At 39.8% G+C, this 26,810-nt stretch overlaps 1 protein-coding gene across 24 annotated transcripts in view; it reads left to right on the forward strand.

Annotated features, from left to right (window-relative positions):
- TENM3 (teneurin transmembrane protein 3) overlaps positions 1-26,810 on the forward strand; it is a 1,355,412-nt gene that overhangs the window by 844,199 nt on the left and 484,403 nt on the right. For 2 of the 24 annotated variants that reach the window (XM_017008388.2, XM_047415940.1), the window contains exon 1: positions 14,410-14,566. The exons of the other annotated variants lie outside the window; for them this stretch is intronic. The gene's annotated coding sequence lies outside the window, so the exon portion shown is untranslated. Of the gene's footprint in view, positions 1-14,409; positions 14,567-26,810 lie in introns of those variants that run through there. 24 annotated transcript variants of the gene reach the window in all.

The following is a 26,810-nucleotide window of genomic DNA, read 5'->3' on the forward strand; positions in this document are numbered from 1 at the left end:
GTGGGGTCGCGTTCCCATGGCATATTGTCTCCAGGCGCTCTAGGGTCTTAAACTCAGCTGTGTGTGTAGGGCTGGGAGGGAGGCAGGCAGACTCCAACCATGTTATGTGCGTCACATTTCTATTATTCAGCCCTAGAATGGTTTTCTTTGTAATCTTATTAAAACTTGGACGTCTTAGATAAGGACCCATAAAAAAGTTTTCCCCAAAACATTTTTATGCTCGTCTTTTTTCCTTTTTCAGCCCATGAAAAAGCTGTTTTTGCCATATGAGTGCCTTCTGTTGTTTATGGAACAAACTGCAAGGCTAAAGAACAATTTGGCACTGCTATATTTCTTTTAATGAGAAAAATATGATGCTATAAAGATTTATTGTAAAAAAATGTAGGATATTAGAAGGTGGGCATATTGATACCTGCAACTAAACATAGAGAAAAACAAAAACAGAGCCATCTCAGAGGCCCCATGATTGGGGTGATGTTATTTCATGGTATTCCACCCTTACACACATTTGGGAATATTTTCTATGTAAAATTCACCTCAAAAAAATGAACAGTGCCTATCTTGGTAATAGATTGCTTGTCTCACAGAGTTAGATTTTTGTCCCTTAGGATCTAGCCAAGGAGTGGAGATGTTTCCCTAAAATATTTCTTGTTCTATTTTTCCAGTGTAACAAAATGTTAGTTTCTGTGACTGCTATCTATATTGTTTGAAAAGGGTTGTGTCTACATCAGCCACCAGTTCCAAAAGGTATATGTTTTTGTCACAGTTCCTTTGAGATCACAGATCCGCATGGTCGCGTGGGTAAATGCTTCATGCTTTGATCTCTTCTCTCTTTCCCTCTCTGAAAGTGGGCGTTGAACCCTCACTCTGTGCTGGGCTTTGGGGAAATAGTACCCAGGGGATGCGCTCTCTGCCCTTAAAGAACTTACAGTGGGCTCAATTGAGGATACAGATGAATAAACAAGGACAACTTGAGTGACACTAGTGTAAATATGCTAAGGAAGTACATTAGGCCCAGGTGGTTGCTGTCCAAAGGTTTTCCATAAGGAAGAGCATCACAGCTGACAGCTGAAGGATGTGGAGGAGTTAACTAGGGGGAGAGGTAGACACAGTCCCAAGCCCAGGGTACAACATGCTCAGAGACCCAGAGGTGGGAGCGGGCATGGTGCCGTCTGGGAGCTGGGCTTATTGTCATGAACACACTCTAGCTGCCTTCACTGATTGCTTCCGTGTGTTGCACACTTTATTAAGTGCCTCACTACATTGTCTCCCATCACCCTTGCCACAACCCTATGGGTTAGGTCTTTTAATCCCTACTTTTTAGCTGAAGAACCGAAGCCATTAAAAGTTAAGTAATTCTTCTAGGATGACGTAACAAGTGGAGTCCATAGTCAGGGCATGGACCTAGTCTGCTGCCCATCTTCCTCCACTGCCCACGAGCATCTTTGAGGCGATTCAGCAGAGGGGATTCAAAACCAGCCTCCATCCAAACCAGACTTGCTAACAGTGGCACCAGAAACGACAGCAGGTCCCTTATCAGAGTCCACATGGTTTTAGAAGCTGAGTGGGTAAAACAAACCTTCCATGCAGGAAAATCTGGAGACCTTACGTGGAATTCACTTACAGTAAAGAGGGTGGAAGGATGCGTCTCTCTTCCTCTTTCTCTTTCTCCTGCTCTTTCTTCCTTTCTTGAGATGTCAAAGTTGGCGAGACCTAATGAATTTGAACTGAAGAACAATGAAGCTTTCCACCTTTCAAAGGAATCCTGATACCTTTAACCAAAGAGCAAGAATGGTGCTGATTATCAGTGGTATTCTGGTACCCTCTGACCCTGGACAAAACAAAAGCATAGACAACGTTTGCCTTTGACTTTCGCCGTATCCTTTCTACTGTTCTCCAACACCTGGTAACCCGCTGCCTCCTCCACATGCTTTAAAGCGCCCACCCCGAGTCCCTTCCAAATTTTTTCTCCCTTTGGCCCTCCTCAATCAAAACTCTCTTTCCCTGAGCCCTCAATTAATTAGATCTGATTATCTAATTAAACTAATTCGCACTGAGGTATGAATGAGGCTTAACCCTCCCAGGGGACATTTGCATTTTAAAAGAGGAGCTTGTTAACCCAAATGCCTCGACAATGACAATTAGTGGCATGTGTGGGGAGATATATTTTGGGAGGTTGGGTCTTTCCTGCGCTCCCTGCGTCCTAGGCCATCACAGGCCCGGGTAAACTTCAGGATTTCCTCTACCAGGGAGTCGGAAGCATTGGAGTCAGCATCACAGATCCCTACCATCTGCGTCTCTGCCTTTGACAATTGGCTGAGTTAAAAAAAAAAATGTCATCGCTTAAGAAGAGGATTCCTACTAATACTGTGAAACTTCAGTCGTGGTTGTGAAGTGCTTTCTTTTCTTAGAATCAGCCTGCGAGATTCGTGAGGTGGAGGTCTAAGAATTCTGAGTGACACATTTTTAAGATTTCTAGATTGAAGATCTCCAGACTGAAGATCTAGATCCCAGGTGGAAGATTCTAGGGCCACCCCACAGCAGCAACTGTGGCTGCCCTGAAACATTCAATGTTCACCCTGGTTTTTTTTCACCCTAAGTGTAAATCCCTAAACAGACTTTTTTTTTTTTAAGTGGGAAAGATAGAAGTATTTGTGTTCCAGCCTGGAATTGACATGGGGAAAAAGTTGACCAAAGTGAGAGCGTCTGGGTGAGAAGCAGCTCTGAAAGTCCTCATGGTCATGTCTTGCTGTGGCCTTCTCTGTGAAGAGATAGAAAGGCTGTTTTGTTTCCCAGTGCCTGTGAGCTAGAAGTGAAATAGTACATTCCAACAAGATCCAGATTAAGGAAAGGAACTGGGAATCCAACCAAAAGCTGCTGTACTACTGACCACGGCTTTGCATTTACCAAGAACGCCAAATGTTATCACTTCCCATCAATGGATATGGATCCCACGTATAGACACAAACTAAAAATGTGTGGGGTGTTCTTTTTCTGGGATATGACTCAGAAATCTTGAAAATAAGAATATGGACAAGCATAATGTATATGCCCATTGCCATTATCGATTGTTTTCTTAAAGCCCCTTGGTGCAATGCCTATTTTTGCTATAATTTTGGGATGCTTATTCACACTTTTTACACCTTTTCTTATTTTTTGGTGCATTTAATGGCCCATAAAATGTTGAGTGGGTGGGGGCAGGGGCTACAGTTTGACATTTTGATAAAGAATTGGGATTTTCTGCTCTATTTTGAGTGATGGATTAAGAGGATTATTTTATGTGAATGCTAAATGATTTTACATGCATTCATTCCTGTAATATTTAATATTTAAATTAATTAAATTTCCTGGAAAGATAAAAAGTGATACGTATTATTGATGATATAAGACACAGTGTTGCATTTACTCGGAATATATATGGAAACAAGTGGTATATGTGCTTTGCTTTTCTTTTTTTTTTTTTTTTTTTTTTTTGAGACGGAGTCTCACTCTGTCTCCCAGACTGGAGTGCAGTGATGCGATCTCGGCTCACTGCAACCCCTGCCTCCCGAGTTCAAGTGATTCTCTTGCCTCAGCCTCCCAAGTGGCTAGGATTACAGGCAGCTGCCACCACGCCCAGCTAATTTTTTAAATTTTTATTAGCGATGGGGTTTCACCATGTTGTCTAGGCTGGTCTCAAACTCCTGACCTCAGGTGATCTGCCTGCCTCGGCCTCCCAAAGTGCTGGGATTACAGGTGTGAGCCACTGTGCCGGATGGTATATGTGCTTTTCTAGTCTTTATATTTTAAGATTCTAACCCTTGTAGCAAAAACAAATGTTAATACTGTAAAGCTTCAGAAAGCAGAGCTGAGATGCAAGAGCAAAACAAATAATATAAGGGGAAGCAGTAAAAATTGTGATTAAACCTTTCATCCGATTATTTTTCATTTCAATGCTATTTGAGTTTTTATCTTAATGTTTTGCTTCATGGAAAAGATGAGTTTGACATCTGGATAACGCATTCACAAGGGAAGACATAACTGTTTACCACGTATATTTTAGTTGTCAGGACCTAAAAGTTAAACAAGGAGAACTGACCAGATGGGAACAAACAAAATTAAGTTATAGTTAAGTGATTTGAGTTCATACCATTATTATTATTTTTTTATTTATTTTTGAAATAGCGTTTCACTCTTGTTGCCCAAGCTGGAGTGCAATGGTGTGATCTCAGCCCACCTCAGCCTCCACCTCCTGGGTTCAAGGAGAATTCAAGGCAATTCTCCTGCCTCAGCCTCCCGAGTAGCTGGGATTACAGGCACGCACCACCGTGCCTGGCTAATTTTGTATGTTTAGTAGAGACAGGGTTTCTCCACGTTGGTCAGGCTGGTCTCGAACTCCCGACCTCAGATGATTCGCCCACCTTGGCCTCCCAAAGTGCTGGGATTACAGGCTATTTTTTAAGTTATTAAGAAATTACCCATATACTATTTTATTTTACTCCAATATACTTGTTTCACTATTAAAGACATGAAAACTCTTTTAGGATCTCTGATCAAAGTTGATCTTTCTTGATAACGATACAAAGTAAATCATAAGGGACTTTTTCTTTTCAATTGTACTTGAAGGCTATGGGTTACTTTTGTGGATCTGCAAGCTAGACATCATGAAAAAAACTTCCAAACCAGAGAGGTTTATAATCAGGGCAAGCCTTGATCTACCAAAAGATTTACTGGACGCTAATTGGCTGTAACTAGTGGAGTTTGTCAGATGAGCTGGGGACATTAAGGTTTCTAGATTGCATTGACTTGAAATCAAGCTCAGAGACCTCCTGTTTTGAAGCCATTACAGAAACGTGTTTAGCACTGCTGTGTATGCAAGAAGTCTGCATCTTTAGATTGCTGCCTTTGAGTATGATGTCTTAATTTGTCTTTACCAAAATACTTCTAAATATTATCATGGGATTAAAACAAAAGAGCTCAATTTTTTTTTCTTCCTCAGGAGTTCTGGAAACAAAGATCTGATTTTTTAAAACACAAATTGCTGGTGCTAATTTGCCCTTAGTTTTCTGGGCAATATTTCTTCATTTGTTTCTGATTTTGACAGCATGGCCTCCTGGAAAATAAAACATAGATTTCCATTGATTCGGAAGGGAAAGAAGATACTAGAACGAGAAGACATCGAGGCCATACACAAAGAAGGGAAGATAGAGATTATTCGCATCTTACACCATATTTTATAGTTAATCTCTTTAAACCTTTGTCTTCTTAGCTTTAAGATGCCAATAGTATTATTCACCTCCTTATGAGGAGTAAGTAAAATAGTTTATGGAGAACAGCAGCACCATGCCTGGCTACAGTCCTTTCTGCTCTCCCTCTCCAGGTGGAGAACTCAAATTCCCATCATATAACTGGGGCCACAGCTGAAAGCCAAGTCATGTTTATCAGAGACTGGTTCTGATTATTCCAGGATTCACTATGCAGGTGACACTGTCACTTGCATAGTTGAAAAACAGTAGAATATTGGCAGTTTCCTATGGTCCACCCAATACTGAAATAAATAATTTATACAATTATTCAGATAATATGGATAAGTTCTTTTTCTGAATTGTCTTGATCTTTGAAGTAGGAAGGTGCTGCTTTTTGAATGGATTATTTTATTTCTGTACTTCCATTCCTCAATACAGGATGAAAATAGTAATTCACCATCCTGTGGTTTCAGATTTCGTCTTCATTACTTCTTGGATGGAAGACTAAAAGCGTCCCCTGATCCTCAGTGTCCCAGGCTCCCAAGCTGCCTTACGTCAGACACACCAGCATGTGAATTTCCAGGACCATGTATTAACCCTATACTAAGAATAGCTCCTGTAGTGTGGAAGCTCCCCATTTGTGTTTTTCACGGTCTTTTAGATGACAAGTCTAGATAGGGTAGATGGCCTCATTAGCTGTTATTTATTGTGTGATACAAGTGGAGTATAGAACAGGCTACCGGGCAGCCAGGTGGATAGCCAGGATCCAAGCATAGCTCAGTTCCTCTGTCCCAGGCCTGGGCCTCAGTGAAGTTCGAGTGACTCATTTCCTCTCTCTGCCTCTGTTACTCCTTCCCATTCACACTCATGGACTTTCTCAGGCCTCTCCTCTGCCCCATAGCCTGCGCTGCTCCCACACGAGGCCTGTGCTGCGGCTTCTGCCCAGGCACCTTGGTCACTCACTGCACTTCCTCGGAGCCTGTACCCAGGGGTGCATCTTACGTTGAACGTCACCTCCTTCAGAGAGCATCATCCCCATCCCGGCACATGTACTCATCTCACTGTTCTACATTTTAGGAACCTGATGTCTTCATAGCACCTGTCGCCACTTATAATTAATTATTTGTATTTGATTATTTATTTTGTTGTCTGTTTCCCCCACTGAACTAAAAGCTGCATGAAACCAGCGTATCTCTGTTCCCCACCCTTCCAGCCCTAGCACCTCGTGCAGTGCCAGCCATATCCTAGTCCCTGAGAAATAGTTGTTGGATAAAGAAATATAGAAATGAGGTGGAAACGCCTCAGAAGGGCCTGTGATGCCATGGCAGACACTCCAAGCTCCTCAGAGTAGATTCTCTTCTCAAATACAAAGAGTTGAACTGTTAGTCTGGATGCCCCACCTACAGTGGGGAACTTTGTTGTTAAAAGGAAATGGATTGTAAGCAGAAAGGAAACTTTCAGTGAAACATTACATAAAAATGGACCTCAGATTGAAAGACTTAAAGATTGTTTGGGAAAGTGCAGTCTTGGAATTAAATAACAAGGTAGAAAAGCATATATGGGAATCAAGTACTTGAAAGGAAGAACTATATCAAAGTGAAGATTGGAGAAAATGACACTCAACAATTGAAGCACATTAAAAAAGAGGTAATGGGATCGGGCATGGTGGCTTATGCCTGTAATCCCAGCACTTTGAGAAGCCGAGGCAGGTGGATCACCTGAGGTCTGGAGTTTGAGACCAGCCTGGCCAATATGGTGAAACCCCATCTCTACCAAAAATATAAAAATTAGCCGGGCGTGATGGCGCCCACCTGTAATCCCGGCTACTCGGGAGGCTGAGGTGGGAGGATGGCTTGAACCTCGCTTGAACCCAGGAGGCAGAGGTTGCAGTGAGCTGAGATCACACCACTGCATTCCAGGCTTGGGCAACAGAGCAAGACTCCTTCTCAAAAAAAAAAAAAAAAAAAAAAAAAAAAAAAAGAGGTAATGGACTGGCCACTGCAGATTGAGAAATGAAGCTTCTCAGTCACTCAGAGGTAGGAGAGTTGTGAAACCACTGGCTGGGGCTTACTGAGGACTGAAAGAATAATGGGGCATTAAAAACACCAGATTATCTAATAATCTGTAACAAATTCTCAATTGCACTAGTTTCTCCTAGTATTATTAACATCCACTTTGTTGAAAAATGAAAAACAGATTCAAGCAGGGGCATGCGTACATCTCTTTGTAAAACTAGATTTATAATTCAAAGAGTCTTTTTGATTGGCCACTTTCTGAAATGCTAAAGTAAGACTTTACAAACAACTCTTACAATTTCATTGAATCAATATGGAGCAAGTGGGGAAAGGAAAAGGAAGCCTGTGCTCCTCTAATGGAAGAATATAGATTCGGAAATTATTTCATAGTACAAGATAAGGAAAGAATAAAAATGTTTTTAAAGGCAAAACAGAAGGTGCCACAGAATGAATGCTGCTTATCTTTGCTCATGTTACACAGGAAGGTTGACATTTTAGTGTGCATCAAGGTCACAGAAATTAGGAAGGAACACTGTCTTTGAGAAATCTCTAAATTACAGATCTTAGAGTTAGCAGGCACCTCAGGATAATTTGGACCAACCCTTTACTTCCAGAAAGTCAAGGTGTTATTATCCCCCATTGTAGAGATGGGACAAGTAAGTTAAATTACCTGCTGAGGTCAGGTGATTGAAAAGTGACTGATGGCGGAGGATGCCAAGGACGGGGGGAGGGAGGGAAGGGTTAGGAAAATCCAGGCCCCAGTGTGCTATTAGGATGTGCCTTCCATTACAGCACGAGCAGGGTGATTATTTCCCATTTTGATATGAACAGAAGAAAAGACCTGCTGTATTCAAGTAGATCTTTTTTTTTTTTTTTCCTTTTGAGATGGAGTCCCACTCTGTCGCCCAGGCTGGAGTGCAGTGGCGCAATCTTGGCTTAATGCGGCCTCTGCCTCCTGGGTTCAAGCGATTCTCGTGCCTCAGCCTCTAGAGTAGCTGGGATTACAGGTGTTCACAGCCACGCCTGGCTAATTTCTGTATTTTTAGTAGAGACGAGGTTTCACCATGTTGGCAAGGCTGGTCTTGAATTCCTGACCTCAAGTGCACAAGGCCTCTGCCTCCCAAAGTGCTTGGATTACAGGCGTGAGCCACCACGCCCAGCTCAAGTAGATAATTATTTATGAGAATCGTTTTCTTCATGAAAGAAGCAAGGGAAGAAGAAGGAAAGGAAACAGAAAGAAAGGAAGGAAGGGAAGGAGGGAGGGAGGGAGGGAACCTCTGCTGAACATGACAATTGGTCTCTCAGGCCATACAGTTGAAAAGGGGACAGAAATTACCTTGACTTGTTCTTTTCTGTATGTTGAATTATGGGATCTGATGTCCCACATTTTCACATGAAGATGTTGGGTACATGTTACCAGGTCACAGGTCTGACAGTCGAGTTAAACACCTGGAGGATTTTGCCACTGACTGGAGTGGACACCTGGTGACGGCTTGTGCCTACCTTTGGCCTTAGGGATGGGAGGTAGGGATCCACTCCAGTGAAGCTGAGATCAGTGTTCTGCAGCCTTGCACTTGCTATGTCTCCACACCAAATGAGACTTGATATTTTACCTTTTCAGCTGTAGAATTCTCTAGCTCGTTTGGCATATTTGCTGTCCATAGCTTCCAGAGCTTCCATACTGCAAGCATGGTGGTTGGAAGGCTGAGGCTTCTCCACAATCCACAGGCTCCCTAGACTTCCACAAAACAGTGAGATTTTGAAAAAGGGTAGAAACATGATGATGGACTTTCCATTTTATACACAATTCTATTTAATGATGAATTACAAAATAATTGACTTCATTTTGTGCTGAAAAGACCTTTGACCTCTCTTAGCCTGGCATTTCCAGCCTATGATTTATTTTTAAAAAAGTGTTTTATTTGTTCATTAGTTTTCTGTTGCATTTGAATTTTAAAGCTCTCCTTTAAAAAGAAAAATAAAGTATACATTTGAAAGAAGAATGAAGAGGACTGCATCTTATGCGTATTAAGCCTCTGTAGCAAAAGGATGATTAAAAAGGTATATACATGTTTCCTTTCACCGTTTCCTATATTTCCTTTGACTTTCATAAAAATTCTTTACTTTGGCAGGACTTTTGCAGTCAGATAGAGTCAAACATATGCCAACCAAAGCTTACACTGTTCCATCACCCCTCTACGTGCCCCTGAAATTTTTTCCTTCTTTTACTTAAAAATGCAACTAAACTTTAAATTTTTCTCAGCTTGCCTGTATGAAACTGTTTTTATTTTTAAAATAACATTGATACAAATAATATATTTTCCCCATATTATTAGCTTTTATTCCATCCACTTCCTCCCCCCATTCAGCACAAGGTACGGTTTTGACAGGTAGCGTGATGAGATTTAGAACAGAGGCTGAAGTTAATTGAGGTTAGCAAGAAAAATATTACTGTCAATTTCAGATTTTTTCTTTAATTATTTTAAACTCATGAATAATCAGTTAAATGAAAAAGAAATGCACATTTAAGAGCATCTTGAAAATTCCCACTCCTAGGTGCGTCAGAGGAGAGAAGCCTCTTGTGACACTATCTACAATAGAACACACCACTGGCTTTTTGCAGATGACATAGTTTTTGTTTTTTGGTTTTTAATGATGCTTCTTTTGAAGTGACAGAATGAATACACTGGGAAGAGGAAGTTGAGCATATTCAGTCATAAAAGGCAATTTGCCTTTTCAGTGATAACCTGGCTACACTATCGCACTGGGAATAAGTGTGGCACACAACTCTAAAGACAGGGAATTCGGGGGCCTATACTGAGAAGGATAAACAGCCAGCGATCCAGTTCTGCAGAAGGGCAAGCTTCAGTGGCTGTGCTTCCTTGGGACACGCTCGGGTGCCTTCTGGGTTTCCATATCATGGGAAAAATACTCTGGCCTAAAAGGACTCACTTGACTAATACAATTTTCTTTTAAAGACTGGTAAGCTGTTTTATCAACCCTGCTAGCCAATTAGAGTGTCTGGATTAATTGCTTTTACTGGAAAAAAATGATTATTTTGCCAAAAACTTTTAAATGAAGAAAATCCATCCAAAAAAGAAAAGGGAGCTTTCTTTGAATTTGCCCACAGATTGTCTCCCTCCCTTAGCCTTTTCTCATTTTCACGCCCCACCCCACCTGTTCTCATGTGTGTGATGTAAGTACTCTTTCCACCATAAAGGAAGGTTAGCATTTCGTTTTATGTAGATGCCTGTGGAAGGTGAAAGTCATGTTAAAGATGCTTCTGTGATCTGGACAGAAAGCTGGGGTTCCCTATGGGTGATTCTTTTTGGGTCACTCTTTCAGTCATGTATTTATTTAGCAAACTTTTATGAAGCATCCACCAGTGTTCAACAGACGGATCTACTTCGCTGAGAGTTTGTGTTTTAAGTGGTTTAAAAGTAAGACAAGTAGCATAGGATATTTGGTCATCTTTCCCTCTAACAAAACTAAATGTCTTTTTTTTTTAAGTTGAATAGAAACATCATTCATAATGGTCAGCCCAAAATAATGATAACAGAAGATATAAAACTTGAAGCCAAGAAACTGCTTTGGAAAACAATATTTAAGGAGCGTGTGATAAATTTGTTCTATCTAATTCTAAAATGGAAGGATAGTGAGGGCTTTCTTAACATTCAGAATGAGAGCTGTTCATCTGACAGTCATTTTTCCTTTAGAGTGCTGGTTTTGGAGGCATTCTTTCTCATTTCCATGTGAGAAGACAGGCTTCTGTCATTAAGAACTGAGCTTCCAGGTATGAAGTCCTGAGATATCCATGTATTGAGACTCATCACTTTGACTAATGGAAGATCCTGACCACATATCATCTTAAGCACCTCTTCACAGTGTGTCATTTTTCCAGCTCAGTTGATTTTTGATACATCTCACTTTATCAGTCATCGAAGTGGAAATTTCATCACTCTTATATGCTTTCTGAGTTTTTCTTAGTGTTTGTTTGTAATAGGTTTTATGGGTGATTAGTTATGGGAATTGCGGCATTCTCGGTGATGGGAACCTATCTTAATTTCACTCATGAAACCTGTTTCTCTCATAAAGTATGTCATAAACCCCAGGGAGAATCTGTTTTGCATTTAAACATAGCTTGTTGAAATTAGGATAGATGCTTTTTATCATCACTTAGTATAGAAATGAATAGCTGAAATTATTTGCATTTGCTCTAATGTTGGAGCATTGGCCTTCTCAACTGTGTGATTTCACACGTTGGTTACTGTGCTGGGACGTGCCACTGACTGGTTGCTCCACTGGGCACTTGCAGATTCAGAATTTTACCAAAGTCCCACTGAACCATATTATGACATAAGAGTCATATTTCTGTTGTGTTGGTGGATGAGCATCTTTGCTTTAAAAGCTTTCACAATAAAGCGTAAGAATTGATATGACCCATCATTTCATTGTATCCAATGCAACTGTGTATACCTGCCCTGATAGTCAACGCGCTGTCATTGTCCAATGTATACATTTTACATCATGCGCATCTGGTTTTGAGCCGTAGCTGTCTACTTAACAGGTGTATGACCTTGGTGGGGGGGGTGACTTAATTTCTCTTGAGTCTAGATTTCCTTATGTGTAAAAACAAGTTATTAAAAGAACCAACCTTCTAAGTTTGTTGTAGAATTTCAATGAGATAAGGCATGTAAAGTGGACATTTAATGAGGTACTCAATACATTTTAGCTATGGACATTAAACTTTTTAAACTCTCTATTTGACAACTTTCTAGGCACCACATGGCCGTAGGATCCTCAGATTAATTGTATGTGTTCATTTTAATGGTTTAATTTTTAATTCGAAGCTTTCCTCTTTTGTTTTTATATTGCGAGATTATAATTAGAATATCCTGCTCAACGATTATTTTTTCAAGATAGAAATTTTACCATAATAAAAGTCATGGAGACATATAAATGTGATAGCCTGATTTTGTTAGAATAGCATTTTTGCTAGATCATCACATTTCCAGTATTCGAGAGGAAAATTTAAAATAGACTATGAAGACTATAGGGGATTGGCAAGTAAAAAAAAAAAGAAGTCAAAGAAAATGAGCTAAATCTAGTAGTAGCAAGTAGGAGATGCCCTGAAGACAATATTATATTATCTTTTCTCTTTCAAGAAATTTTTTTTTTTGAGACGCAGTCTTGCTCTGTTGCCCAGGCTGGAGTGCAGTGGTACGATCTTGGCTTACTGCAACCTCTGCCTCCCGGGTTCAAGCGATTCTCCTCCCTCAGCCTCTCAAGTAGCTGAGATTACAGGTGTGCGCCACTATGCCCAGCTAATTTTTTGTATTTTTAGTAGAGATGGGGTTTCACCGTGTTAGCCGGGATGGTCTCGATCTCCTGACCTCATGATCCACCCGCCTCGGCCTCCCTAAGTAATGGGATTACAGGCATGAGCCACTGTGCCCGGCCAAGATAATTTTTTTTAATTAAAATTGGCTGTATTGTCTCATCAAAGTTCACATCAATCAGGAAATACTATTGATGATTGAAGACCTGCTGTGTACAAGACACAAAGGCAGGCAACACTGGAGTAGGTTTTTCTGTTGGGATGACTGTGAATTTTGAAGCAGAGGAGGGGGTGGAAAATGATGGCACAATAAAAGTTCAGTTACAATCAGCACTCCTGCTTCTCACCTGTCGTGTCCAATAGAGAGTTGAATCTGAAACGGGAATGACACAGCTTAAAACTGTTTGGCATGGATAGGGGATTTGTGGGGTTGTGTAGATCCCTTATTGTCCTCCAGTGGTTTGCAGCCACCGTACTTCGGCTTACTGATGTGCTGCACGTGAATGACAGGTGCTACGACAGTGATTCAGTCTGTCGAGGGGTTTTTCTTTCTTTCTCTTTTTTCTTTTTCTTCTTCTCCTCCTCTGTCCTCCCCTCTCCTCTTTTCTTCTCTCTTTTTATTCCTGTAGCAGGAGACACAGGTGGATGGTAAGGTCTAATTTCCAGAAAGCTGAGCTTTGCTGCTTGTGAACGTGGTATCTTTGGCTACCACTGAGGGTTAGACTCAGGTCCACTACAGCAATTCTGACATATTTACTGAAATCTGTGAGGTTTTTGCTCTGGAAGTATAGAAGAGGACATGGTCAAGGCAGTAAACAGATCTAAAAAAAAAACCACAAAAACAAAAGGAACAGATTGTTAACAAATAACAAGTTCTGAAGGCCAGCAAGTAAGACAGCTTTTGTTTCTTTATCAATACTGTAAGGTGCTGATTTACTGTAAAACTAATTGCATTATAATTGGATGTGGCTTTTCAATGTTGTTTTGAGTCTTTTATTCCTTCCAACATGCCACCAAAATGTTTATTTCGAAGTAGGCCGTGAATACTGTGCTGGAGGATTTGTTGAACAAGAAAACTAGGTGTAGTCAGACTAAAAATGTTATTGTGGTGATCCATCCCCAGATCATGGAAGAGAGTTATTATTCAGAATCTGCATTTTGATGGTATTCACTTTACTGATATTTTAGCCATAATTTATCCTCTTTCACTACAGTTCTTAAACTAGGTCCTTCCGATGTGTGTCCCAGTTCTCTTTCCCGGTTACACGCCTCTACTTCTGCACAGCGGCTCTTTGCGGCCTTCCTGCCTTGGCCTTGGATGGAAGGGTAACCCCCTGCAGAGTATTCAATGATCAGACTGTGTCCTGTGTATGTGACTTTGCAGCAATACCCAATGCCAGTTTGATGCGTGGTGCTTACTTCACAGAAGCCCATTTCATGTAGGGCTTGGGAGGAAGTCGTTGCTATCCTGGATGTTCTTACGTTCTTTAGTAATGGTGGAAGGGAAAGAATTTCGTACACCATTGTTATTAACACCCTGAATCCTGCAGATCTGGCCAAAGGGAGGGTGACCCTAGCCATCTGGGAAGTGTGCAAGGCAGAAGCACCGTCCATATGGGAGGAGCTGGAGGTGCCTGGCCCTGTCTGGTCAGGTGGTGGGTCTGGCTGATCTTTTCCCCTTCAGCACCAGGAAGTTACACAAACCTGTACTTCATGCACCCAAGGAGAAGAAAGAGGGCCCCCTCCTCTGTCCCGTGATATGATAGTGAACCATACTTACATTTGAAAGATAGTTTCTTTCTTTCTTTTTTTTTCTTTTTTTTTGAGACAGTCTTCCTCTGTCACCCAGGCTGGAGTACAGTGGCACCCTCATAGCCTGCAACCTTGACCTCCTAGGCTCAGGTGACCCTCCTGCCTCAGCCTCCCAAAGTGCTAGGATTACAGGCCTGAGCCACCATGTCCAGCCTGAAAGATGTTTTCTGAATCAGGTTTGTACAGCCAAGTTACTTTGAAAGCATACGTGAAAATGTTTATAAGTTATAATACATTTTATATGTATGTTATTATCATAAGTAGATAGGTGTTTCCTACTTGAATCTTTGAGTTACCTGGATGCATTTCTTAAGGAGAGTTTATAACAAAATGTTTTAATAGGAAATTTCATTATAATAATTTGAACTTTTCCCATTTATTGCTTTTTATTATTACTGGATAAATATTGTGATACTCCTGGTGCTCTGAACCCCATCTGAGCAGAAACCTGTAGTATCTGAGGACTCTTGCCAATAACATAATGGTAGATTGTGTCAAGAATATGCTCTTCATCTGCCTAGGGTTTCATGATTTTCAAGTTGTACATACTAGAAAGGTTCTGTAGATAAAGTATGAGAGGAGAAAGGCATTATGTACATTAGTTGAAATTGGCATCATGTTGCCAAACTGTAATAAGCCTTAGGGGAGCTCAGTGTTGAAACTACTCAATTGAATGCTGCAATTTCCCATAACAATTTAAAAGGCCTGCAGGCATGCTAAAGTCATAGCTGGATCTTTCAGTTAACACTCTGTAACATGACCCCAAAGTCTCATTTACATCACAGCAATTAAAATATATTCCACATTACACGTTTACTACCACATACTGTAGAAATAATCCAATGAAATGTGGCTATTTTCCAAAAATAATATGGAAATCTTGATATGATACGTATTCACAATTTCTTCTTTCCAAAGTGGTATCACCATTACACACTTGTACATACAGGATAATGGTAATTGTGAAGGGGGAGGAAAGTGGGGCAGATGAAGAGGAATGCAGCCTGGACTGATGAAAACTAGCAATCATTACTACTTGGTGACCCACAGGAAATTGGTTTTGTGGTCTCAGTCCGGTTCATGGGTGACAGGTGTCCATTGTGCAAAATAATCATCGTAATCTGTGCTAATTGGCCCCCTACTGGTAGTTAGAAAGTAGAGAGACCAAAAATTATATGAGCACAAAGAACCCTTCTACACCTCCTGGTTGCAGAAGGGTTGCCTCTGGACTAGGACAAAATGCCAACACCCAGTTGGGAAAGAGATGGAAATGTAGAGTAGCACTCACCTGAGGAAGGTATTTTCATGAATTTAGAGTCCTTTCCTTAATGCTCCATCCAAATTAAATTTAAAATCCTCCTGACATAGGGATTATAGCTGTAACTATTAATTGATATCATAACTATTTTGTAATGAGCTGAACAGCAAATTGAATTACTTTAAAGCAGAGCCGTGGTGGGCAAAATTAGATCATATTTTCTCAACAGTGACGACTGCATTTTAGCAATGCCTCCCTTTGAGGAAACGTAGACCAAATTGACTTACTCCAAATTGTTGTTGTGGTTTAATATTTATTGAATAGCCACAATTTACTAGCTTACCTTGAAAGTGTGGTTTTTAACAGTTGTCTAGAATACATCACCAAGGTATGAAATACAGTGGCAAAAGTCCAGCTTCTCCACTTGGCAGGCAGTCAATGGGAAACCAAGGAAACTGCCTTGCTCTCTGTGCCTGCTGGAACATTCTTGCCTGCACTCCCCTTTTGTGGTCAGGAAGAGCTTTGGAAGAATCCTACTTTAGCAGACATCTGAGAACGCAACATTTTTATCTACTGACTAGGTCCATTTTAATCCTCTGCCGTGGTTTATAACTACCACTAGTAACAGCATTGAAACAAATTTAATTGGGCCACTTACTCAAGAGCCTTTGTGTCCATTATTGGGAGGTGCCTCCTTTGAGCAGACACAGCCCCCTCCTAGGGGTGCTGAACTGGGCAACCGCAAAGCACAGGCTGGATTGAGCCCCCCAACCCCCTCAGCAGATGACCCGATGCCTGGGTTGGGCGTTGTCTACCTGACCCATGAAAACTTTTTAAAATTATAGATTATGCACATATTTGGTTTTTTTTTTTATGAGACAGGGTCTCACTCTGTCACCCAGGCTGGAGTGCAGTGGTGCAGTCATAGCTCACTGCAGCCTTGAACTCCTGGGCTCAAGTGATCCTTCCACCCCAGCCTTCTGAGTAGCTAGGCCTACAGGTGGTATGTGCCACCGTGACTGGCTAATTAAAAAACAAAACAAAACAAAAAAACTTGTTTTGTAGAGATGGGATCTCACTATATTGCCCACGCTGGTCTTGAACTCCTGGCCTCAAGTGATCCTCCTGCCTCAGCCTCCTAATGTGCTGTGATTACAGGTGTGAGCCGCTGTGCCCAACCTATGCATGTATTTGTCTTTATGATATAAATCATCTAGGAAATCCAGAACCACAAAGGTATAGGATACGTGTTTCCTATTTTTACTTGACTATTTGGCAGTATTTATACAAAGTCATAATATTTGAGTGTATTGTGCCTATGCATTTTAAGGTGTGTAACTAAACTTGAGAAGTCCAAACAGTATATTTCTGTGTGAGCCTATACCTAGTCAAGCATATTTATATTCCCCAATACTGTTGCATTACAATGTGTTTAAAAACAAACAATAAACACCCACGAAGAAAAATATTCTAGAGAATGGAATCCTCCGAGTAAGCACACAGACCGCTAGCCAGGCTGGCTGTTTCCCCTACACATTGATACTGAGTCCAGAACCGACCTAGCCCCTACTGTCTCCACAGCAAGCTCAGAGACTTTCCTCAGTTCTTGGGACGAATCAGACACTCAGACTGAACCCAAAGGGTTTTTGGGATCCTGAATCTACTCTGGAACTTATCTATCCCCTAGAGCTTACCTCCTTCAAGGAGGAAGTGGGGTTTGGGAATTCGTCTGTCCACTGACAGATGCCATGTTGACGGAGACACCTGCATTCGCATCGCTGAGTGCGAATTTCCCACTTTCCAGGGATCCGTGAGGAAGGTGCCGTGTGGCTGGTTTGCTGCTTTTCAGACTAAGATGAGAGCTGTCTGGTGGGCAGTAGACAGTGTATATGTTTATTATAGTAATTTTGCCTGTGGGTAACAGAGGCATGAATAACTGCAGTTATCCCTTATTCTCCAAATACTTGGGGGTAGTTACCAGGTCTTCACCTAGTTACTAAAATAAGCCTACCAGCATTCTTCAGTCTGGAGACTCTTCATCAGTTTCATTCCTCCTCTTGAAAGTCCTGCCAGCGTCTGCCTACTGCTTTCTACTACCAAGACAAAAATATTTGGATAACATTAGACATGAAATCATTTTGAAATTATTGGTGTGGGAACAATTTTTTTCTTATTTGATGACATAGTCCCTCTGAATAAGCTCATAAAAATTCAAAACTCAAATTCTATTCACACATTTTAGCAAAATAGCAATTTCGTAACAGAGGTATAATCTCTTGCTCTCAACCGTATAGACTGGGCTTTGGTGTATTTTTCGCAAACCAGCTCCCCCAGATTACTGAGATTTAAGCCTAATGACAGCGGACATGATTCTCGGACACCGGGCAATGTACTTGATGTCATTATAGTAGCTGCCCTTTATCAAGTACTCATTATGTTATGTGCCAATAACTGTGCTGAATGCCCTAAAAAACTTTATCTCATTTAATCTTCATAATATCTCCGCTAGAAAGGTATTGTCATATGCTTTTTGGATAATTAAAAGTAGTAAACTAAGCCTCAGAGAGCTTAAGTAACCTGTCCAAGGCCATGTGTCACATCATTTGTAAATAGTGGAGCTAGACTTTAGACATAGTTTTGTCTGATTACAAAACCTGTTCTCTGTCTCCTTCCCAGTTGTATTGATATAGTTTTTTCAGTTGAAATATCCAGGGTAAGAACTTGTTATTTCAGAAGCATATTTCTTTTTCTTTAAATTCTTATTTTTATTTATTTATTTTTAATTGAGATGGGATTTCACTATGTTGCCTAGGCTGGTCTCAAACTCCTGGGCTCAAGTGATCCTCCTGCCTCAGCCTCCCAAGTAGCTTGGATTACAGGTGCGTGCCACCATACACAGCTCTCAGAATCATTTATTTCTGTCAGTCACTGAGGTCTGCTTCTTCTACGTAGACGTCAGTGAGCAGGAGGCAGGCTTTCTCCAAATGACGGCAAAAATGTAAACAAGCTACAAGTTTACATCTTCCCCTTAGCAACTCTAATGAAAAGAGTAGGCTCATTCCCAGTAGTTTCACCAGATGTCCCAGGACTGACCTCATTGGTCACATGTTCATTCTTAACCAGTCCCTGAGACTTTGTTCAGGCTGTTCCTGGACCCCACGACTGGGGTCTGTTCCACCCCAACCCCTTTGTCTCCATGTGGGGGAAGGGTGTTTTTTTTTTTCAGGGAAATACATGAAACAGGTTTTTTTGTTTGTTTGTTTTTGAGACAGAGTCTCACTCTGTTGACCAGGCTGCAGTGCAGTGGCACGATCTTGGCTCACTGCAGCCTCCGTCTCCTGGGTTCAAGCGATTCTCCTGCCTCAGCCTCCCGAGTAGCTGGGACTACAGGCGTGTGTCACCAGGCCCAACTAATGTTTTTTGTATTTTTAGTAGAGATGGGGTTTCACCATGTTGGCCAGGCTGGTCTCGAACTCCTGACCTCCAGTGATCCACCCGCCTTGGCCTCCCAAAGTACTGGGATTACAGGCGTGAGCCACTGTGCCTGGCCCACAAAACAAAATTAGTACAGCTACCAAGGCTGTGATGGAAGAGAGCCTGTCTCCTTTGATAACTGAACCACATAGGATGACAGACAAGCAAAGAGAATTGTGAGCACGTCTCCCTCTGAAACACATAATATCACACCAGGGTGTCATTTATGTTCTTCTCTAATCGTCTTTTCCCTGAAGAAGCAGCTTGAAAATGTTTTCAGTAGATTTTATCCTCTTGGTCTTACATTTTACACCTTTCTTACTCCTGAGTTGAATTTCACTTGGCTTTTATTTTTGCATCCCCAAAGCTGTGATCTCTGCAAATGTAATTTTCAATATGACAGCCTTCATTGACTTTGTTAATACTGGATCTGTTGACATCCTGACATGGTTTGTTAAACTCATTGCTGTCATCTCTCTCTCTCTTTTTTACTTCTTAAAAAATTTTATCTCTTAAATCTCCTCTTTGTTCTAAGGTTTGGAAGTATAGTCCAGAGGTTAAGAGGAGAGATTTGGAATGAAACTGAAATGTGTTCAAATTCAGCTCAGGTGATTTCTGACTCTATGACCTTGGATGGGCCAGTGAATCTCTCTGGGCCTCAGTTCTGTCATGCGAAAATGGAGTTGATAATTCTTATTTAGCAAGGTTGTTGTGAGGATTAAGTGAGGTCATATATGTAAAGCACCTGGCATATTTTAAGCACTCAATAAATAATCAAGATTGAAATTAATAATTCGTCAAGGAGCTTTTATGTCCACTCTGAAAGAGAGGAATATGCCCAGCACTTAGGGAAATCACATGAGCTCTTCATTGAAGAAGCTCCCCCAGTGGCACACAGACTTCCCAACTATCACTGGGCCAGTGAGACCCATCTTTAAGGCACTTTTTAAATATGGAAAGCTGTAGTTGTTTTGAAGTCATCTAGAAAACTTGCTTTTCTCTCATTACGACTAAAGGTTTGAATTTGGACTTGATGCTACACAAGTCTTACCGTTTGGCAACTTTTCCAAGAAATAAATGGAAGAGCACCATATGGGGGTGTGAGCCCCAGCCTAGCCACACTACTGGTTAGTTGCATGACTTGAACATTTTTATTAGTTGTCATAGTTCCTCATCTCTATAACTGGCAATAACACAAACTGGCTGTGTTGCTGTTAGGTTTAGAAATGCAATGTGTAAAATACCCAGCATGAAAAAGCGTTTAATAAATTGAGGTTATTGGCTTGGTGTGGTGGCTCACGCCTGTAGTCCCCAGTACTTTGGGAGGCCAAGGCCTGAGAATTGCTTGAGTCTGGAAGTTCAAGGCTGCAGTGAGCTGTGATCGTACCACCGTACTCCAGCCTGGGCAGCAGAGCGAGACCCTGTCTCAAAAAATAAAGAAATAAAATAGAATAAATAGAGGTTATTATTATTACTGTGTGTGTGATTGTGCCTGGCATGTCCACTGAGGTGGACATGTTCAGCCGAAGATGGAATGACCTACTTCAATCAGAATAAGACATCTGGAGTGATATCAAACTGTCTATTTGGTTGTTTTTTTACCTAGTGTGTTTGAGGCCATTCGGATACCACAGTATTATCTGAATGACATATAATTGTGTTTCTTACTTTTCCCTCTGAACCAGATATTATTACTGGCAAAATTTTCAAAGTCCTGGCTCATGCCGAAGCGCAGGTGAAAAAAGTAGTGGCCTCTATATTCAGGGTGTCTGATTTAAGCCATCATAGAAATGTGTAAATAGGTATGATGGATATTGGTTGATCCAGGCAGGCAGACAAATTGAGAGGTATTATTTACACTTTACCCTAAAGGTCTGCAAGCTTGGAAAGCTGCATTTGGCTCAGCTGTATTGGATCCTTGAGTGCCTTTTCCCATCTATTCTAAGTATAGAAATTATGACCTCTTCCCTGTAGTTATTCCTCTGTTTGCAACCACAAACTAAATGACTGGATTAATATATATTACTAGTGTCTATTAAATTTTCTTTCCATAATTTTTATCAGGAAAAACAGAATTACTTTTATTTTCAAACCATGCAAATGAATTGTTTTGTTTTGAAATCATAGAATATATTCTCACTTTACTGAGTAAATTAACCTTATTATCTTTATTTTTTTCTTTTTTGATCATTTTCAGTTTTTGTTTCCTTCTACATAGGAATATTTTTGAAAAAATTTTTAATGCATTGATGAGAGTTAAGCCACTTTTCTTATAGCCTAAGGCACTGTTCTATATATTTTCCAATTAAAAATCTTTCAGTATTCACAGTTATTCAGTAGCTATTTTAATATATTTCCTAAATATACTATTTATAGTTCTATATATTTTATTACCTAAATTTACGTTTATTCATGATAATTCATCCATGATGAGTAGTTTTGAATTTTAAAACAATAAGTTTTCTGTTCATTATACTAAAAATAACAACATAAATATATCTTTATCAACATGAAAATGTTCATAATATATTAAGTAAAAATGGGTTACAAGATTATCCATTTTAAATATATATATATACACACATGTTCATATATACATACAGCATATGCATGGAAAAAGTCTGAAAAGGTGAACACCAAAAAGCTAGGAGGGCAATTATTATTTTTTGTCTTATCTGCATTTTCCAGTTTCCAGAAGGAAAAAATATTACCTGCTTAATACATATTTTAAATGAAAAAAAAACAGCAAATATTGGGAATGTGTATTAAACAGTGCTTAGGGGATGGCCTCCTGTTTTCTCTCTCTCAGGAGAGTTTCCTCTTCACTCAGCTGCTCAAGCCAGAAAGTTGGTATCATTCTCAACTCTTTTCTTTTCCTCACCCTCATTTTAGCCCATCACAGTCATGCTGATGCCACCTCTAACTATCTCTCATATCCATCCATTTTTCTAAATCTCCACTCCATCCCTTTTCCCCTATTTTCCATCCTTCAGCCAGAGAGATCTTCCTAAGCTAAAAGTCTGATTTATACAATTATAAATACATTGATTTTCTTTATATTCTGTCTCCTTTCTCAGATTAAAAGAGGGCACGGGCTGGCTGGGCGTGGTGGCTCATGCCTGTAATCCCAGCAGTTGGGGAGTCCGAGGCAGGCAGATCACGAGGTCAGGAGATCGAGACCATGATGAAACCCTGTCTCTACTAAAAATACAAAAAAATTAGCCGGGCGCTTTGGCAAGCGCCTGTAGTCCCAGCTACTCGGGAGGCTGAGGCAGGAGAATGGCGTGAACCTGGGAGGCGGAGCTTGCAGTGAGCCGAGATCGCGCCACTACACTCCAGCCTGGGCGACAGAGCGAGACTCCGTCTCAAAAAAAAAAAAAGAGGGCAGGGGCTACGTGTTGTGTATTCCTGCATTCCCATTGCTTCTTACAATGTCATGTCACCATGACAGCTGGTAGCATTTATACATGTAGGATAAGTGAATAAGTAAAGAAATCAATGGTCACTGTGCTTTGTGCACAATTTCATGTCTATACATACAGATCAGCTGCATTCTTTTGAATCACTGCACAGCATTCCTCTATCTGGTCTTGTCTTGCTTTTTCATCCAGTGTGACAATCTCTGCCTTTTAATTGGTGTGTGTAAATTATTTATGTTTAATGTGATTATTGATAGAGTTAGAATTCTCTTTTTTCATTCATTTACTTTTAACCTATTTGTGTTGTTATATTTAAGTGTGTTTCTTGGAAATAGCATCTAATTGGATCTTTAAAAATTATCCAATCTGAAAATCTCTGCATTTTGTGGAGTTTTTAGACCATTTACATTTAATGTGATTTTTGACCTAGTTGGGTTTAAGTCTATCATCTTGCTATTTGCATTTGATCTGTACCATATTTTCCGTGTTCAACTTTCCCCTTTTACTACCTTCTTTTGATTAGTTGTATATTTTTATGCTTCCATTTTTAAAATTTCTGTTTCCCCTTTCGTGACTGTTAGTTATAACTATTTGCTTTGCTGTTTCAGTGCCCTGTTTAGGGTTTAAACTGTATATCTTTAATATAACACTGTCTGCCTTGACGTGATATTAGGTCACTTCACATACCTTGTAATAGTGTACTTCTGCATGTCCTCTCCCTTCCTTTATGCTATTATTGAGATATATTTTACTTACACATGTTATAAATGCTACAGTACACGGCTACGATGATTGCTTAGTTATCTATATTTAAGGAGATTTAAATAGTAAGAACAATATCTTATATATTTAACCACATACCATTTTCAAGTGCTGTTTATTCCTTTGTATAGGTACTTATTTCTATGTGATTTTGTTTTTATTTTGCCTGAAGGGCTTCCTTTACATTTTTTTGTAATGAGAGTCTGCTGATGATCAGCTTCTGTATGTCCAAAAAGGTATTTATTTCACCTTCATTTTTGAGAGTTATTTTCATGGGATATAAAATTCTAGGGTTTTTTTTTTCTTTCAGTACTTTAAAGATTTTGTCATTTAGCTTACATTATTTCCTGTGAGAAGCTCTGTATGTGATGATGCCTTTTTCCTGTGTCTGCCTTTAAGATTTTCTCTTTATCACTGGTTTTGAGCAGTTAAACATAACCAAATGCCCTGGTGTAGTTTTGTTCACATTTCTTGTGTTTGGGGCTTGTTGAGCTACTGGCATCTGTAAGTTTATAATATTCATCAATTTTGAAACATCTTCAGTTATTATTTCTTCACATTTTTTTCTGTTCACTTTTGTCTGTCTTCTTCTTCTGGAATTTTGACCACATGTATATTGGTCTCTTAAAGTAGTCCTGTGTCTCTCTGATGATTTATTTATTTATTTATCCACCCATTCTTTTTCTGTGCTTTATTTTGTGTAGTTTCTATTACCATTTTGAGTTCTCTGCTCTTTTCTTCTGCAGTGTCTAATCTGCCATTAATCCTATTCAGTATATTTTTTATCTCAGACATTGAAGTTTTTCTCTTGAAGTTTGACTTTAGCCTTCTTTTTATATATGCCATGTCTCTAATTTTTTGATTGTATGGGATGCAGTTATTATAACCATTTTCATGTCCTTCTCTATGAATTCTTACACCAATATCACTTCTGGGTAGTTTCAATTGATTGATTTTTCTCTATATTATTTTCCTTCTTCTTTGCATACCTGGTAATTTTTTATTGGATGTCAACCATGGTGGATTTTATCTTGTTGAATGATGGATATTTTTATATTTCTGTAATATTCTTAAGCTTTGCTGTTGTGCAAAAAGAAGTTAAGCGACTTGGAAACAGTTAGATCCTTCCTGGTCTTGCTTTTAAGTTTTGCTAGGTAGAACCAGAACTGTGTTTAGTTTACTGCTAATTATTCCCCGCAACTGAAGCAAGAACTTTCTGAGTACATCGCCCAGTGAAGTATGAATTTTTTTTTTTTCCCAATCTGGCTGCTGGAAACAGACACTATTCTTGGCCTTGTGTGAGCCCTGTATACTTACTTTACCTGTGATTCAGTGGTCCTTTAGAGGCAAAATTTTGCCCCAGGGACATTTGGTAATATCTAGAAATATTTTTGATTGTCATGACTGGGGCTGCTCCTGGCATCTAGTGGGTAGAGGCTAGGAATACTGCCCAACATCCTACTACAAAATGCCCCCACTCCCACAAAAAAGGAATTTTTCTTTCAAGGAGGTGAGTAGTGCTGAGGTTGAGATACCCTGATACAGTCCTTTCAGATCATTCTTTCTGTGCCCTCCAGTGGTCTCCTCACACACTTGTGTCGATCAGTACTCTGTGGAACACCCCAGAGGGACCCTTGGCAGATCCTCAGAATTCTTTCTCCAAGTGGCTCTCTTTTCTCTAGCAACTTGTCCTGCAAATTCTTACCACCTGTTCTACGGGGCTCAGCTTCACCTCTAATTGTGAGGGTCTTCTGGACTCTTCCTGGGTCCCCCTTCCTGTGCTACAGTCTGGAAATTTTCAAGGCAGTAAGCAGGTGTGATCCATGGCACAGCTTAATTGTTTCTCATCTCTCAGGATTCACTGTCCTTCACTGACTGATGTCAATGGCTTGAAAACTGTTGTTCCAGATATTTTGTCTTTTTGTTGTTATGTTTTAGCTATCAGGGTAATCCAGTTCTTGTTACTGCAATCTTGGCTGGAAGCAAAAGGTGGCTTCTTATTTATTATTGCTGTCAAAAGTTCTCTTTGTTTACTGTCATGTGTAAAGAAAACAACCTGCCCAACTTTAACCTCCTCAATCACTATTCATTATATTGATTTTTCTCTGTCTCTGAATCTTCCCAACAAGTCTCACATTTTATATTCATAGTAGATTCCCCTTTTCCTATATTTCCTTTCACAGTCTTTGTGGGGTGTTTTTTCGAGACAGGGTCTTACTCTGTCTCCGAGGCTAGAGTGCAGTGGCACTGTCATGGCTCACTGCAGCCTCCACATCCTAGCCTCAATTGATCCTCCCGTCTCAGCCACCCAAGTAGCTGGGACTACAGGCATGTGCCACTGTGCCTGTTTTTTTTTGTTTTGTTGTTGTTTGGTTTGGTTTTTGTAGAGAGAGGGTTTCATCAAGCTGGTCCCAAACTCCTGGGCTCAAGCAATGTTCCTGCTTTGGCCTCCCAAAGTGCTGGAATTGCAGGTGTGAGCCACCATGCCTGGCCTTGTGTTTTAACTTTTTACCGCTAACATGATAGTTAGATTCTCTTGTGTTCTACTATTTGAAACTATAAGCTCAAATTCTAGTTATGCTTGAATTTAGCACTACCAAAAATATATATATATATATGATTTTATTTTTGTACTTAATTATTTCAATTTTTGGATTTATACATTTGCCTCAGGAAACATAATTTTCTCTAAAATGAACAAAAGCAATTGATTTCCTCAATTATTTTAGCTATTCAATAAAGGAAATGCTTTGAAATTCTTATGGTATGCAAAGTTGTATTTACTGTTCAATTGATATAACTGGCAATAAATCATAAATACTAACATTAGTGAAAATACAAATTGTGAGTAACAAAAGGCAAAAATTTTTTGGTACTCTGTACAAAGAACTTAATTTAGACCTTTAATCTAAAATGTGTTGGTGTAAATTAGTGTTGCTTTGAAGTCTGGTTATTGTGGGGGTGAGCTTTTCCAGACTATAATAAAGATAGGAGGACACTATATAGAGATATCCAAGGTAACATTCAAGGCTTTGTAATTTGTACAGAAAACAGATAAAAATGGAAGCATGAGTGAGTTTCATCTAGAGGTTATTTAATCTTTTGGGTTTGGATATTTGTTATATTTCAGTCTCTACATAGATATATATAACCTTATGGAATTTTAGAACTACAATTGATGTTAGGGATGTTTGATAAATTGTAATCATTGGCATCAAGGGTTTTAAAGATACAAAATTTACAGTTAAAATCAAGTTACTTTCTAAAGATACAATTAAAAGTATTTCATCAGGATTAGGAACATGTTATAAAACAATGTAATGATGTCATTACATCATTACATTACGAAACTTCTCTGGCCAAGTTTCAAAATATATTTAAATAATACATCTGAAATAAAGGATAGGATCAACCTAAGTTTAGTGTCCATAAGGCAGGGATTGCCTGCCCATTCATTCATTCAGTCAAATACTTTGCAGAGTGTTGGGAAGAAGCAAATAACCAAGT

This window comes from Homo sapiens, chromosome 4, assembly GCF_000001405.40.
Source record: "Homo sapiens chromosome 4, GRCh38.p14 Primary Assembly".
NCBI lineage: Eukaryota > Metazoa > Chordata > Mammalia > Primates > Hominidae > Homo > Homo sapiens.